The following is a 15,009-nucleotide window of genomic DNA, read 5'->3' as shown; positions in this document are numbered from 1 at the left end:
CTAGCTTTGTACATTTCTATTTTTCTTATTCAACTTTTATTTTAAGTTCAGGGATAAAAGTGCAGGGTTGTTACATAGGTAAACATGTGTCATGGGGGTTTGTTGTGCAGATTATTTCATCACCCAGGTATTAAGCCTAGTACTCATTAGTTATTTTTCCTGATGCTGTCTCTCTTCCCATCCTCCAACCCTGATGGGCCCCAGTGTGTGTTGTTCCCCTCGATGTGTCCATGTGTTCTCATCATTTAGCTCCCACTTATAAGTGAGAACATGCGATATTTGGTTTTCTGTTCTTGTGTTAGTTTGCTGAGAATAATGGCCTCCAGCTCCATCCATGTTCCTGCAAATGCACATGTCATGTGACACAATCGTGATGTAATCTATGGTCTTGCATATTTACATTACACCACCAGGTAAATCAGCACGAGGGAGGTGAAGACTATTCTGAATCTGTTTTACACAGGGACAGCTAGCAATAAAATACACAGAAATGACTCCATACCACATAAATAAATCCCATGGAACCCAAACTCAATGACTCAACTCAATTCTTCTTTTGCTGGATCCTCAAAATGCCCACATCCACTCCACCACCACCCAACATGAGGGCAGAAAGAGATCAGAATTTTAGCCAATTACAGCTAAAATGTCTGCTTTTGTCAAAAGCAAATGACCAAATGGATACATTGCCAGGGCCCCTCCAGAGCCTCAGAAAGGGCCTGCTGAAGTTGCCTTTTGCTATGGGATGAATCAAACCAAAACACAGTGGCTTAAAATAAGATGAATTATTTTATTTCTGAATTCTGAAGGTCTGCTGGGCTTGGCCAGGTGATTCTCATTCTTGTGGTCTCTTATGAGGTCAGTGGTGGCTAGGGCTGAAACCATCTCAAAGCCTTCCTCACTCACATCTCATGGGTGATCCCAGCTGTTGCTGGAACCTCATCTGGGACTATCGGCCAAAACACTCAGAACTTCTCCATGTGTCTGGGCTTCCTAGAAGACACTGTTCAAGTAGAGGGCAAGACAATCAAGAATCTCAAGCTCTATTTCAAAACATTTCTTCCCACTCCACTACTGCTCTATATATTTTTCACAATACTTTATACCTTCTAACGTAATAGTTATTATAGAGGTACACGTATGTCTTACTATAACATAAACTCCATGAGGGAAGATATTTTTAGTTTTGCTCAATGAAATATCCCCAGTGCCAAGGAAGCACTGCCCTACACATTCATCCAAATAGTAAAATAATAAATATCTATTTTTAAACACTTTGTTAATTCTGCACACATTTACTTTTTCTAAAGGGAGAAATGTGGAACACTGAAAAGCTCCTTGAATCTTAGAATTTGTTTTTAATTAATAGACTTAATACATGGCATAACATGTTGTACTCAACTTACTCTTCATGCAACGTGTAAGCATAAATGCCAAAGATCTTACTTTCAAGCATCAGCATTAATATAGCAAGTTAGGAAGGTAGACGGTTTGGTAATTACAAAAGCTCTTGAAGTAGGCAAAAACCATTGTTTTACATGGTAGCCAAGATCACACTAATGATAAGTATTTCTGGCTTAACCAGTCCTCACAGCAATATGCTAAATTAATGAAAACAAACATGGGCATTGTTTGGGTGTTACTGACATCAACTACAAAACAGAAATGAACAGAAATTGAAAACTATATTGTCAAATACAATTAAAATAGCCAAATACATTATTTCTAGGTAAAATCTTTATAACTTCAAATACTGCCAGTTTTCTTTCAAAAACTTACAGTACTTGAAAGAACGAAAATCAGCTTAATCCAGCACAGGGGAAAGAAACACATGAGATAACTGAATTTTACAACCAAGGTCAGAGAGGATATCACACTATCACCGTGGGAGGAAGGGTGAGTGGGTAGAAATACCTGTTATTGGTTTTTAAGTAGATCATAGCCAAAGCTAGAGTAGCACCTGGACAAGTCACATCCACATTTATGGTATCTCCTTCCTATTGAAAGAAGAGTTTATGCATGTAAAAGAGTTCTAAATTTTTATAAAATTCCTCTGATAAGTATGCTTAAAATTAACATATTTACCAATGTCAGGATGAACACTAGTATTTTCCAATTAACTTCCCAGCTTCCAGACTTTTGATCTATTACTTTGCTGTGTACTTACTTTGATTTGATAACTTGGTGATTTATGTTTCTCCCTATGCATTCCTGTTTGAAAGCGCCTATGTCCTCCAACCATGTACTGATAGAGCTGCTCAGGCACATTGAGATCAGACATACCTATCAAATTGCTGCCATGCTGGAAAAGACAATAACAGACGAGTGAAAAGAAATTTTATGGAGGAAGATCCATAACACATACCCATAACAAATATAAAAATGAACTAACTTCAAAGCAGGTTATTTCGGGTTTTGTTTTTTTTATTTCCAACTTAAAGCAAACATTAATCATGAGTTAATAAATATTAATAATTCTCATAAAAGTTTTAATACATGAATGTTCAACTTTAAGTACTGTCTTAAAATACATAAGAGCTTTAGAGTTAGTTACATTTAACAATAAAGAAAAATATTAGTTATATAATTGAAACCTGAACTGTAAATATCTGAATACTTTCATTATTGTACTTAAGAACTTTTCCAACAATAACTATGATAATAATAGTAATTTATTAAATGCATGCTCTGTGTCAGGCACTATTCTGTGTGTTTAACATGAATGAACAGCCATATCAAATAGCTACTATTAAAACCCTATTTTATAAATAAGGAAAGTGTGGCAAAGAGGGATTAAGCCCAAGGTTATACAGCTATTATAGTAAGTTGCAGGGCTATATATAAAACACGGCCATCTGGTTCAACAATCCATGAAGCTGATTAAGCAATAGACAATAATGTAGTTAAATGACTTGACTCACTAGTTAGGACCAGAATTCAAGTTGCAATTCCCTGTGTGATTCTTTTCTTTTTTTTTTTTTTTTGAGACGGAGTCTCGCCTTCTTGCCCAGGCTGGAGTGCAGTGGCACGATCTCGACTCTCTGCAAGCTCCGCCTCCTGGGTTCACACCATTCTCCTGCCTCAGCCTCCCGAGTAGCTGGAACTACAAGCGCCCACCACCATGCCTGGCTAATTTTTTTGTATTTTTAGTAGAGACGGGGTTTCACCGTGTTAGACAGGATGGTCTGGATCTCCTGACCTCGTGATCCACCCATCTCGGCCTCCCAAAGTGCTGGGATTACAGGCATGAGCCACCACACCCAGCTGATTATTTTCCATTATACCACCAGCCTCTTTAGCTCACGTGCCAATGTGAATTCAAGGCCCTAACAGATGGTCAACCACGAGGTGGATTTTCAGAACACACATGAGAAAAAATTCCTTCCACTATAACTTTTTTTTTTAAGATGGAGTCTCACTCTTGTTGCCCAGGCTGGAGTGCAATGGTGTGATCTTGATTCATCACAACCTCTGCCTCCTGGGTTCAAGCGATTGTCCTGCCTCAGCCTCCCGAGTAGCTGGGATTACAGGCATGCGCCACCACACCTGGCTAATTCTGTATTTTTAGTAGAGATGGGGTTTCTCCATGTTGGTCAGGTTGGTCTCGAACCCCTGATCTCAGGTGATCCGATCACCTCGGCCTTATAACTTTCTTTATATCATTTAGTTTGACCATAAGAATGTATTGGTGGTTTTTCAAGGGGAACCACATTTCAAGTGAAACAATCATTTAATGAAACATTTCTGGTAATTCTGTACACATCTCTTGGATGGAGTTAAAGATGGGTCAATCTGATACTGCATTTTGTCACAAGGAAGATGCTACTGGGACAACATTCTGGGATACACAGTGAACATCACTATGGCAAAAGGGGGTTAGGGTTTGTTTCAAGCAGCTACTATAGACTCTTAAGGCTCCTGATCATATACATTTTCACTATTCTCTGTTTTCAGTCATAGTGGGCTGTCACTTATTCATTCTATGTCTTGAACACTTTAAAAAAAACTTTATTCCCTTTAGTTTGTTCATGAACACTGTAAGCTGGAGGAAAAGAAATCTTAAAGTCTCACTCTTGACCACAGTTTCTCTCAATTTGCAAATCTGGTACCTTGAAAAATATCCAAAAAGACAAGAGAGCTGGGCAGAAGATTAAGTCGTAGTAAGGGACAATATTCAGGTTTAGGTGTCAACGTTATTTGTCTCAACATGTAGATGTCCTAACTGAAGCATGGGAAGGCATAGGCTATGCTTACCCCCAAGCAGACCATGCCCAGGGCCAAGCCAGCAGCTAAGGAGTATGACTTTCTGTCAGTGCAGTATTCCATTTCAGGACCAGGAGGCCGTCCTGTAAAAAGAAAAGCAACACAGTTCAAACTAGCTTCTCAAAATCTCATCTCATAAAAATCTTAGAGTTAACTTTCTAGCAAGTTGCACTGGAGATATGAATGGGATATAACTATTCAGAAAGTTATGACACTATAATAAATGATGTCCACAACTGTAGGTTTACCTACCAAAAAAAAAGGGCCCAAAATAGTTCTTTTTAAATTGCCAATTTAAGTCTTTATAAGCAATGATATTGAAATACTGTGAAACTTTGAGTCTTATCAAAAAAATTACCAAGTAGTAGAAAAAAATTTTAAAGGAAAAAAGGTAAGAGTATTCAAAAAAAAGTTTTATTATTTTTTTTAAAACATCTCGGCCAGGTGTGCTGGCTCATGCCTGTAATCCCAGCACTTTGGGAGGCTGAGGCAGGTGGATCACTTGAGGTCAGGAGTTGGAGACCAGATGGCCAACACGGTGAAACCCTGTCTCTACTAAAAATACAAAAATTAGCCAGGGTGGCAGGTGCCTGTAATCCCAGCTACTCAGGAGGCTGAGGCAGGAGAATCGCTTGAACCTGGGAGGCGGAGGTTGCAGTGAGCCAAAATCAGGTCACTGCACTCCAGCCTGGGCGACAGAGTGAGACACCATCTCAGCAACAACAACAACAAAATATCTTACATTTTGTTTTCATTACTTTCAAATCCACACATCACATGTGGTGAAACATGTTCGAATGATGATAATGAATAAGGAGGTCACTTACTTACGTTGTTAAGCTGTTAAATACTATGTTTAGACATTTATTTCGAGTGTATATAATAATGAGCCCTACTATGGTAGAATTTCTGTGTACTGATCCTAGAAGTCTGACTGGATACAAAATTCATACTTTTAAAAGCACCCTATAACTCTAACACTACCTTGTTGAAAACGATAAAATGTACTATGTATTAAAACCCTTCCCTCTGAAAAAATGTTCACATTCCTGAAATTTTATCCCTATAGGAAAAAAATGCAATTTAAAAAAAAAGAAAAAAGGCTGGGCGTGGTGGCCCTTGCCTGTAATCCCAGCACTTTGGGAGGCCAAGGCAGGTGGATCACTTGAGGTCAACGAGTTCGAGACCAGCCTGTCTGACATGGAGAAATCCCATCTCTACTAAAACTACAAAAATTAGCCAGGCATGCTGACAGACACCTGTAATCCCAGCTACTTGGTAGGCTGAGGCAGGAGAATTGCTTGAACCTGGGAGGCAGAGGCTGCAGTGAACCGAGATCGCGCCACTCCGCTCCAGCCTGGGTGACAGAGCGAGACTCTGTCTCTAAATAAATAAATAAATAATAAAAATTAAAGAAAAAAATCACACACAAAGGTAATCAGTGTAATGTTTATACATAACAACAAAGGATTATTAGAAACAATCTAAAAGGTTCTAAAAGTTAAAAAAAGGCATTTTACAGACCATCAACTCAATGAATATTATACAAAATGTGTTTTAAAACCCATTTATAACAATGATCTATAAAAACAATTTTTAGGCTGGGCACGGTGGCTCACGCCTGTAATCCCAGCACTTTGGGAGGCTGAGACAGGTGGATCACGAGGTCAGGAGATCCAGACTATCCTGGCTAACACCATGAAACCCTGTCTCTACTAAAAATACAAAATAATTAGCCAGGCGTAGTGGCGGGCGCCTGTAGTCCCAGCTACTCGGAAGGCTGAGGCAGGAGAATGGCGTGAACCCGGGAGGCGGAGCTTGCAATGAGCCAAGATTGCACCACTGTACTCCAGGCTGGGCAACAGAGCAAGACTCTCAAAAAAAAAAAAAAAATTTTAATGTACATTCTGACAGTAATTATATAAAAAGGCATATACATATGAATTAAAGATGAAATCTTCTATATACAGTGTGAAAGAGGTATGCCGCAGCTGTGAGACTGTGCAATGACACCATTAGACATCATCATGATATAGCCAAAGAAGGGTAGACTACTTTGCAGATGAACATGCTTTAACAACCAGTGTTGAATATTTTCAGAATAAGCGTTTTTCAGATCTCTGACTTATGCTACCATGTATTGTGATAGCCAAAACATTTCAACTTTGGGAATAATTTTATTTATCATTATAGTAGACTAAATTATGGGTCCCAATCTTCACTGGTTCTCTCCTAGGTTTCTATCAACACCACGAGAGAAACACACCCTCCAGCCTGGGTCCCAGAATGAGGCAGGTGAGGCAGAACGGCAGCAGAACAGCCGGCTACACATCTACAGCCTAAAGCAGAGCTGCCTGGGCCAATGCTATGCCTGTATGTATGTAGCATCACTGTGGCAATAGCTATCTGATACAATGATACTAAAGAATAATACATCTTTAACAATATATTCACAAATCCATATAGAAAAGATCTTGAATAGGACATATAAGTATGTAACTAAATTGTTGAGCATATTAATAATGCCAATAGCATTTCCATTTGGCAGAAAAAGATGACAACACATTAAGATTTCCAAAAAGTTTGGAGCCAATAAAAAACAGAGACAATGTTCACTAAAGTGAGTGTGTGGACCTTACCATTTCCAGGTTCATCACCAACATACCCACCAGCATGTAAAGGAGGAAAGCAGGAGTCCATTACTTGACTTCTATTGGAAGTGCTGTTATCCAACACAGTAAACACTGTGATGTGTTTAGTTTAGTGTCTCTCAGGGACCAAAACAATCTACTCTGAGTTTTAAGTGCAGGCCACTGCTAGACACTGCTGGTAAAGCAGGATAAACAGCATACTCATAGCTGATTAAAACCACAGGTACCTCATTAAATGTGACCACTGGAATTCAGTAATGAGCTAGCAAATAAACATGGAGGTTAATAACCTGCAGTTACATTAGCCTTGGATAACATTACTTAGAGTTTTGTTGTTTTTTTTAATTAGTACTAGATCATTCTTTGCTCACAAAAGCTACCATTGTCTTTCCTTAATTTTTATAATTTTACTATCACTTTTAATTGGGTTAATGTGGAGTGGAGAGTACATGCCTATGAAGATTCAGCACTATTAATCCCATACCTATCTCAGCCAACAGGACTTCTGCAGTATGTCTGTGAGCTGTCCCTTGATATACAAGGCCAATGCCAACCACTGCAGCCACTTGGACATTGTGAGGAACATCCAGCTCTGTGGACGTTGGGGGTAAGAGAGCAGGAATGCGAATGCTAAGAAGCCGAGTAATAGACATATCCATGGTGCCTAGTTTTGCAGCAGAAACACCAAGTAGCAGTCCAATGCTTGTCATTTCATGGCCCTAAGATAGAAACAAAACAAATACATAGTTTAAAATAAAATACTGCCTGCCACTTTCAAGAAGTACTTTTATGTTGACAGGCAAGGTGAGAGGCACTGAGAATACAGCAGTAAACTAAACAAACATGGTCCTTGCTCTCATGGACCTAATGACTTAATAGGAAAAAAAGTGTTAAATTAAAAAACATAAACAAATATATTATTAAAAAGTAGTACAATAAGAAAGTACAAAGTATTATGAAAGAGTATTTTAAAATAGCTTAATTTAGATTGGGAGGGACTAGAGGATTATTAGGGATGAAATCTCTAAAGATTATACAAAGAAATTTATATTAGGACCTGAAGGATGAAAACAAATTAGCCAGGAACAGTGGCAAGAAAGAGGACACTCAAGTTTAGAAGGTGAGGAAGACTGTTTCAGGTGATAAAACAGCATGTAAATAAATGGCTCTGAGGCGATTCAGAAATGAACCCTCACATTAACATCAACTGACCACAAGGGTGCCAAGACAATTCAACAGGTAAAGGGCAGTCTTCAAAAAACAGTGCTGGGACAAGTGGAAGGACACATTCAAAAGAATGAGGCTGGACTCAACACAATATAACAAGTGTTGGCAAAAATATGGAGAGATTGGAACTCTCATGTATTGCTGATGGGGTTGTATAATGGTGCAGTCATTATGGAAAACGGTTTACAGTTCCTCAAAAAGTTTAACAGAGTTACCATATAACCCAGCAATTCCACTCCTAAGTATGTACCACTACTTACCATTACTTCATTACTCTTGAGTAATGAAAACATACATCCGCACAAAAACATGTATACAAATGTTCATAGCAGTATTATTCGTAATAGCTAAAAAGTACAAATAACCCAAATATTCATCAACTTATGAATAAAATGTACATTCATAAAATAAAACATTTATTCAACAATAAAAAGGAATGTATTGCTGATAGATGGTACAACACGGATGAACCCTAAAATTATCAGGCTAAGTGAAAGAAGCCCATCCTAAAATACCATATTTTGTATGACTCCGTTCATATGAAAGGTCCAGAAAAGGCAAACCCACAGACACGGAAAGTAGATTAGTGGTTGGCAGGAAGTGAAGTGAAGGTGGGGGGGTGAGGTAGAGGAATGGGGAGTCACCACTAGTGGGTACAAGGTTCCTTTATGGGGTGAAAAGATGTTCTAAAATTAACAGTGGTGATGGATGCACAACTCTGTGAATGTACTAAAAACCACTGTACCACACACTTTAAACAGTGAATTGTATGGTATGTGAATTTTATATATTTATATAAATAAAGATTCCTTAAAAAAAAATAACGCTGTGAAGTGAAAGAGTTTAGTTTGCCAGAGAGCTAAAATAGCCAATCTGTATGGTTAGAGTGTGGGGGAGCAAGAAGAGTGGGGCTGGGTGCAGAGGCTCACGCCTATAATCCCAGCACTTTGGGAGGCTGAAGCGGGCAGATCACCTGAGATCAGGAGTTCAAGACCAGCCTGGCCAACATGGTGAAACCCTGTTTCCATCAAAAATACAAAAATTACGCAGGTGTGGTAGTATGCACCTGTAATCCCAGCTACTCAGAAGGCTGAGGCAGGAGAATTGCTTGAACCTGGGAGGTAGAGGTTGCAGTGAGATGAGATCACACCACTGCACTCCAGCCTAGGTGACAGGGTGAGACTCCACATCAAAAAAAAAACAAAAAAAAAAAACGAAGAACAGTGGTACCACCTAGGGCTGGAGAAGTGAACAGGATCACACCAGCTCCTAGAATGTATATTAAGAGCAATGGTCGATCCCCCTTTGCCCTCTGGTGTTGGGAATGTTGGCCTTGTTCTAAACCAGTTTCCCTTCACAGAAGTTCAGCCATCGTGTGGGATCAGAATAAGGTCCTGGGGCAACTAAAGGTATCTGGCCAAGGGTACATCCGAAGGACCCTACACCGGCCCCCAGTCCCCAACAGCCTGTTCAGGTGTCGGACAAAGACTTCCAATCTTTCCTATCATGTTTTTCCTACTGCTCTTCTGAGAAATGTTACTTAGTTATGTGTCTCTTTGAGAAATTGCTTCTTTTCAGGGCAGGATGCTGGGTTATGCTTGATGAAGCTAAATAAACTGCCAGCCAGATGAGAATTATAGACAAATAATATGCAGGGACCCCCCCTGGATTCATCTTAGTCTTGAGCTCATATAGAATTCAGAGAAATCAAAGGCAGTTGACAAGGAGGGTCAAGGCTGAGTGCAAGTGAACGCAACTACTCCTGCTGGCTTGATCCCCCCCTGGTCATGAATGGTGGCTGCGCGCACATCCACGACCAAGGCAAGCCTGAGAGACGCCTTGGACTCTAGCACAGCAGAGGGAAAGACTAAGGATGCCTTTTTCTCCCCTCTCTCTTTCTAAATGGGTAGCCTGCACTCCTCTCAAGTGCGAGACATTGGGACTCCTTTGATCCTCAGACTCTGAAGAAAAAATACCTGGTATTTATCAGTAGCAAGGCTTGGCCCAGCTAGAAGTTGGAAGATGGGGAGACCTAGTCAGCTGGGGAAAATAACAACTATAATACTATCCTATAGCTAGATCTCTTCAACCACAGAGAAGGAAAATGGTCCAAAATTCCATATGTATAGGCCTTTTTTGCCCTGCAGAATAACCGCAAGCTCTGTCAGCAATGTATAATAGACCTTGCACTTATAGCAGTGATATCCAGCCAGACTTAATCCAGACAGAAGGGAAAAAACAGTCTGCCTCCTTAGAAGAGGAGACAGAGGCCCCTGCACCAGCCCAGGTCCCAGCTCCTCTTGGATCATCTCGTCCCCCTTATCCAGGCCCCCTTTTGAACCTCATCCTGTTAGAAGAGTTCGACCTGGATGCGCTCCAGCATCACTTCTTCCTTTACAGGAAATGCATAGTGAATATGGTCCTATCAAAGTACAAGTCCCCTTTTCTTTACAAGATTTGAGGCAGATAAAAAGAAATCTAGGACAATTGTGTCGACCTGGATAGGTATATTGAAGCCTTTCAGAACCTTAATCAAATGTCTGAGCTTTCATGGAAGGGTATCATGTTACTTCTCAACTAGACTCTTAGAGCTTCAGAGAAGCAGGCGGCTTTACAGGTCACTGAGACATTTGGAGATGAAATGTTTATCTTATTATGGCACCTACCAAAAGGGGGAAGAAATTAGGGAGCCCTTTCTGACAGCCAAGCAGGCAGCATCCACCAATAATCCTCAATGGGACTCAGACACTGCTCTAGGAAAGTGGCCGAGAAAACATTTTTAGGGATGCACAGTGGAAGATCTGAAAACTAGAGGCAAATCTCTCAATTACATTAAGTTATCAACCATAAACCAAGGGTCTGAAGAGAACCCTTCTGTTTTCCTGGAAAAAACTGAGAGAGGCTTTAATTAAACACACATCTCTCTCCTGACTCTATAAAAGGATAGTTAATTTTGAAAGACAAGTTTATAACCCAAGCAGCCCCAAATATTGGAAGAATGCTGCAAAAAGTTAGCTATTGCACCAGACAGTACTCTAAAGAAAATCCTGAAAGTCACCACCTTGGTCTTTTATAATCGGGACCATGAGGAAGCCCAAGAAAAAGGGAGAAAAGGAACGAGAAAAAGGCAGAGGCACTAATAGCTGCCATACAGGCATATAAACCTCTCGATCCCAGGGAGCTTCTCATTCTATGACCGACTGTTATCAGTGTGGGAGCACTAAAAGAGAGTCTGCCCCCGAAATCAGAAGCAGCCCCCACGGCCCTGTCCAATCTGTAAGGGAGACTACTGGAAGACAAACTGCCTCCAGAAACATACGTCCCAAGGTTCAGAGCCGGCTTCTCAAATGGTCCAGCAGGACTGATGGGTCCCAGGGCTCTCCTCCCCAGCTCTGACAGCCCAGGCTGCATTACCATCCAGGAGTCCCGGGTGAGTCTGGAGGTCAAAGGACTCAGAGGACAGACTTCCTACTCAACACCAGAGCAGCCATTCCTGTTCTCCTCTCCATTCTGGGCCTCCCCTCCTCCCTTAGCACAACTGTGAGGGGCGTCTCAGGAAAGCCTCTGACTCGATATTTTTCTCAATCCCTTAGCTGTACCTAGGGAGACCTTTCGTTTACCTATGCCTTTTTAATCATACCTGAAAGCCCGACTCCTCTGAGGTAGGGATATTTTAGCTCACATGGGAACCACCATCCTTATGGCTCCAGGACAGACTCTTTGCCTCCCTCTGGTGGAGACTGATATTAATCCAGATGTTTGGGCAATTCAGGAAAATACTGGCTGAGCTACAACAGTCTCACCAGTCCAAATCCATCTCAGGGATCTCATCTCCTTCCCTAATTAAAGACAATATCCCCTAAAACCAGAAGCTAGGAAACAACTAGAAGCCATCATTAATAACCTAAGGATGCAGGGCCTTGTTAAACCCTGCGACAGTCCTTGTAATATCCTAATATTGGAAGTACAGAAAGAAACCCAACAGGGAATGGAGACTGGTCCAGGATCTCCACCTCCTTAATGAGTAACTGGTGTAATTAACCAATTTACCCAGTGGTTCCCAATCCCTATACTTTGTTAACTTAGATACCTGAAGGAACTAAATGGTTTGCATTCTTGGAATTAAAAGATGCTTTTTTTCTGCATACCATTATACCCCAACTCCCAAAACTTGTTTGCATTCAGGGATCCCTCCAACCAGACTACCCAGCTAACCTGGATGGTGTTACCACAGGGATTCCAAGACAGCCCCCACCTGTTTGGGCAGGCAATCTCAAAAGATCTCTCTGAGTTCTTTCAAACTCAAGTTAGTCTTAATATGTAGATTACACTCTACTCTGTGCCCCAACTGAGGAAATTTCTCAGAAAAGCAATAAGGCTCTTCTTAATTTTCTAACTGACAGAGGACATAAAGTTTCAAAGTCCAAGGCTCAACTCCGTCAGACTTCAGTGAAGTACCTATGCCTGGTCTTGTCAGAAGGGACCAGGACACTGGGCGAGGAGAGAATTGGATCCATTTTCTCCTTCCTTCTCCCCAAGACCCTCAGCTAACTAAAGGGATTATCAGGCATTACTGGATTCTGCAGCCTATGGATCAGAAATCTAATTAAAAGCATTGCAATGCCTAATTATAACATATCTAATAATCTAGGGGGACATGCCCATGACAACCCTATTTTGCAAAATCCTGGAATAGAACAGTCCATTTTCAGAGGTTTTCTTCCTGTCCTTTCTAGGTGTCCCTAATATATGGGCATGGATTTTCCCCCTTTTAGTTCCTCTTTGTGTTCTCATTGTAATACTCATATTTGGTCCATGTGTACTTAACCTCCTTGTAAAATTTGTTTTTTCTCGCCTAGAGGCCATCAAACTCCAAGTGGTCATGCAAATGGAACCTCGGTTGATGGCTCTCTTTTACCAGGGGACACTTAGATAGGCCTCTAAGAGAGACCTGACTGCTGTTTCCCAAAGCAACACCCTCTGTCAGCATGAAGCAGAACAGTCATCACCCCTATCCGAACAGCAGTTAGATATACCTCTTCAGAGCGGGGATTGATGGCGGTAGGAGGCAGGTAAATTCTCAGATGAAACTCAACCTTCAAGCCAAGGACAGTCGAAAGCCTGAAAACCAAGCTACAAGTTCTGGATAAATCCATGGACTAGAGAGCTCTCATTCCTGTTTGGCATGCTCTCTCCTGATTGGTCCTTATCCTTCACCTACTTTACATATACCTGCCCTTCCCCAGTTGGTCCTCTACACTATCGTGCCTATTTCTAAATGGTGCTTTTTCAAGCATACCCACAGACCAATCAGCATGTACCTCCCCCATTTCAAGCCCATAAAAACCTCTAGACTCAGCCTCGTGGCTGGCAACCCACCTTCGGGTCCCCTCTCGCTGTTGAGAGCTTTCTTGTCACTCATTAAATTCTACTCTACCTTACTCAGGGAAAAAAAAAAAAAAAAAAAGCAATGGGAGATCATTAATTAAATGGCTTTGACCAGGGAAGTGACATACTCTGATTTATGCTTTAGAAAGATTATTCCATGTACTATGAGACAAATGGACTTAGAAGTACAAGAATGAAGAAAGAAGAGCAAATAGAGCAATTAGGAGCTACTACAATAGCCAGCCAAGGCACAAAGCCAGGCACTGGGAGCACAGGTCTCACCTTGGTCAAGTAGTCATGGATATTGAGAGTCGCCAGCTTGGTAAGGTGCCCATTCAAACCCAGAGCCATGAGAAAGCCAGCATACTCATTGGCCAACTCAGCATGCTTGGGCTTATTGTAAACAATCCAAGCTGAGTCGATCTGGGAGGCAGGAGCTATCTTCAGGCCAGCAGCCACACCATTATGAAAGCTGGCCCAGCTTGTCATGTTGGGAGGCACATCGATGTTTCCACTATTAAGGTCTACTGTTGTGTTCCGAGGAGGGGCACGCCCTATCCAGCCAAACGAAGAACATTGAGAGAATAAAAATCCACAAAACCAAGATTGTTAAATTTAGATCTTTGAGACTAAGATTAGTTACGTTTTCTACATTCAAAACCATTAACCCCATAATGCCTGGAACGTTAGGTCTCTATGACCACTTAAAACTTTTGTACATGTGAGTCAAACTTAATGGAACTGGAAAAACCTTCACTGTCTAAACAGTTCATTGTCCTTTTTGTTAAAATGTATGAGGCTATATAATGAGATAACTGATACCAATTTAACATTATACAGAGATGACTGGGATAATCACTCATTTTTTCTTTCAAACAGAGAGCTTAAAAACCAAAATGAAGACTAACATCACTGTTAAACTATACAAGTTATAAATCCCAACATCTGATGACACTGATGTTAATTTCAAATGTTCTATCCTTTATTTTCCCCTAGACATTAAGGAAAAATGACATCTTAAGAAAAGACAAAAGCCAGGCCTGGTGGTGCGTGCCTGTCCCAGCTACTTGGGAGGCTAAGGTTGGTCCTCTACACTATCGTGCCTATTTCTAAATGGTGCTTTTTCAAGCATACCCACAGACCAATCAGCATGTACCTCCCCCATTTCAAGCCCATAAAAACCTCTAGACTCAGCCTCGTGGCTGGCAACCCACCTTCGGGTCCCCTCTCGCTGTTGAGAGCTTTCTTGTCACTCATTAAATTCTACTCTGCCTTACTCAAGGAAAAAAAAAAAAAAAAAAAAAGCAATGGGAGATCATTAATTAAATGGCTTTGACCAGGGAAGTGACGTACTCTGATTTATGCTTTAGAAAGATTATCACTTTCTAAAGAGAATCAAGAGAATCACTTGAACCTGGAAGGCAGAGGTTGCAGTGAGCCAAGATCATGCCATTGCACTCCCACCTGGGCAGCAGACAGA

The 15,009-nt window shown here is 40.9% G+C and overlaps 1 long non-coding RNA gene and 1 pseudogene across 2 annotated transcripts in view; both read right to left on the bottom strand.

Moving 5' to 3' along the window:
- Nucleotides 1-770: 770 nt before the first annotated feature.
- Nucleotides 771-15,009, bottom strand: part of ANAPC1P4 (ANAPC1 pseudogene 4) — a 38,267-nt pseudogene continuing 24,028 nt past the window's right edge. The window contains exons 10-15 of the transcript NR_160651.1: nt 13,812-14,083; nt 7,399-7,633; nt 4,255-4,346; nt 2,168-2,302; nt 1,915-1,997; nt 771-1,003 (exon numbers count right to left, since the gene is read on the bottom strand). The product of NR_160651.1 is annotated as an ANAPC1 pseudogene 4 (transcript). The remainder of the gene's footprint in view (nt 1,004-1,914; nt 1,998-2,167; nt 2,303-4,254; nt 4,347-7,398; nt 7,634-13,811; nt 14,084-15,009) is intronic.
- The window catches only part of NCAL1 (NK cell activity associated lncRNA 1), a 282,375-nt gene continuing 269,532 nt past the window's right edge, over nt 2,167-15,009 (bottom strand). The window contains exons 12-15 of the long non-coding RNA NR_186253.1: nt 13,812-14,083; nt 7,399-7,633; nt 4,255-4,346; nt 2,167-2,302 (exon numbers count right to left, since the gene is read on the bottom strand). This is a non-coding gene — a long non-coding RNA (NK cell activity associated lncRNA 1). The remainder of the gene's footprint in view (nt 2,303-4,254; nt 4,347-7,398; nt 7,634-13,811; nt 14,084-15,009) is intronic.

Source organism: Homo sapiens, chromosome 2, assembly GCF_000001405.40.
Source record: "Homo sapiens chromosome 2, GRCh38.p14 Primary Assembly".
NCBI lineage: Eukaryota > Metazoa > Chordata > Mammalia > Primates > Hominidae > Homo > Homo sapiens.
The sequence above is the reverse complement of the archived record's forward strand: the minus strand, read 5'-3'. Positions and strand labels throughout refer to the sequence as shown.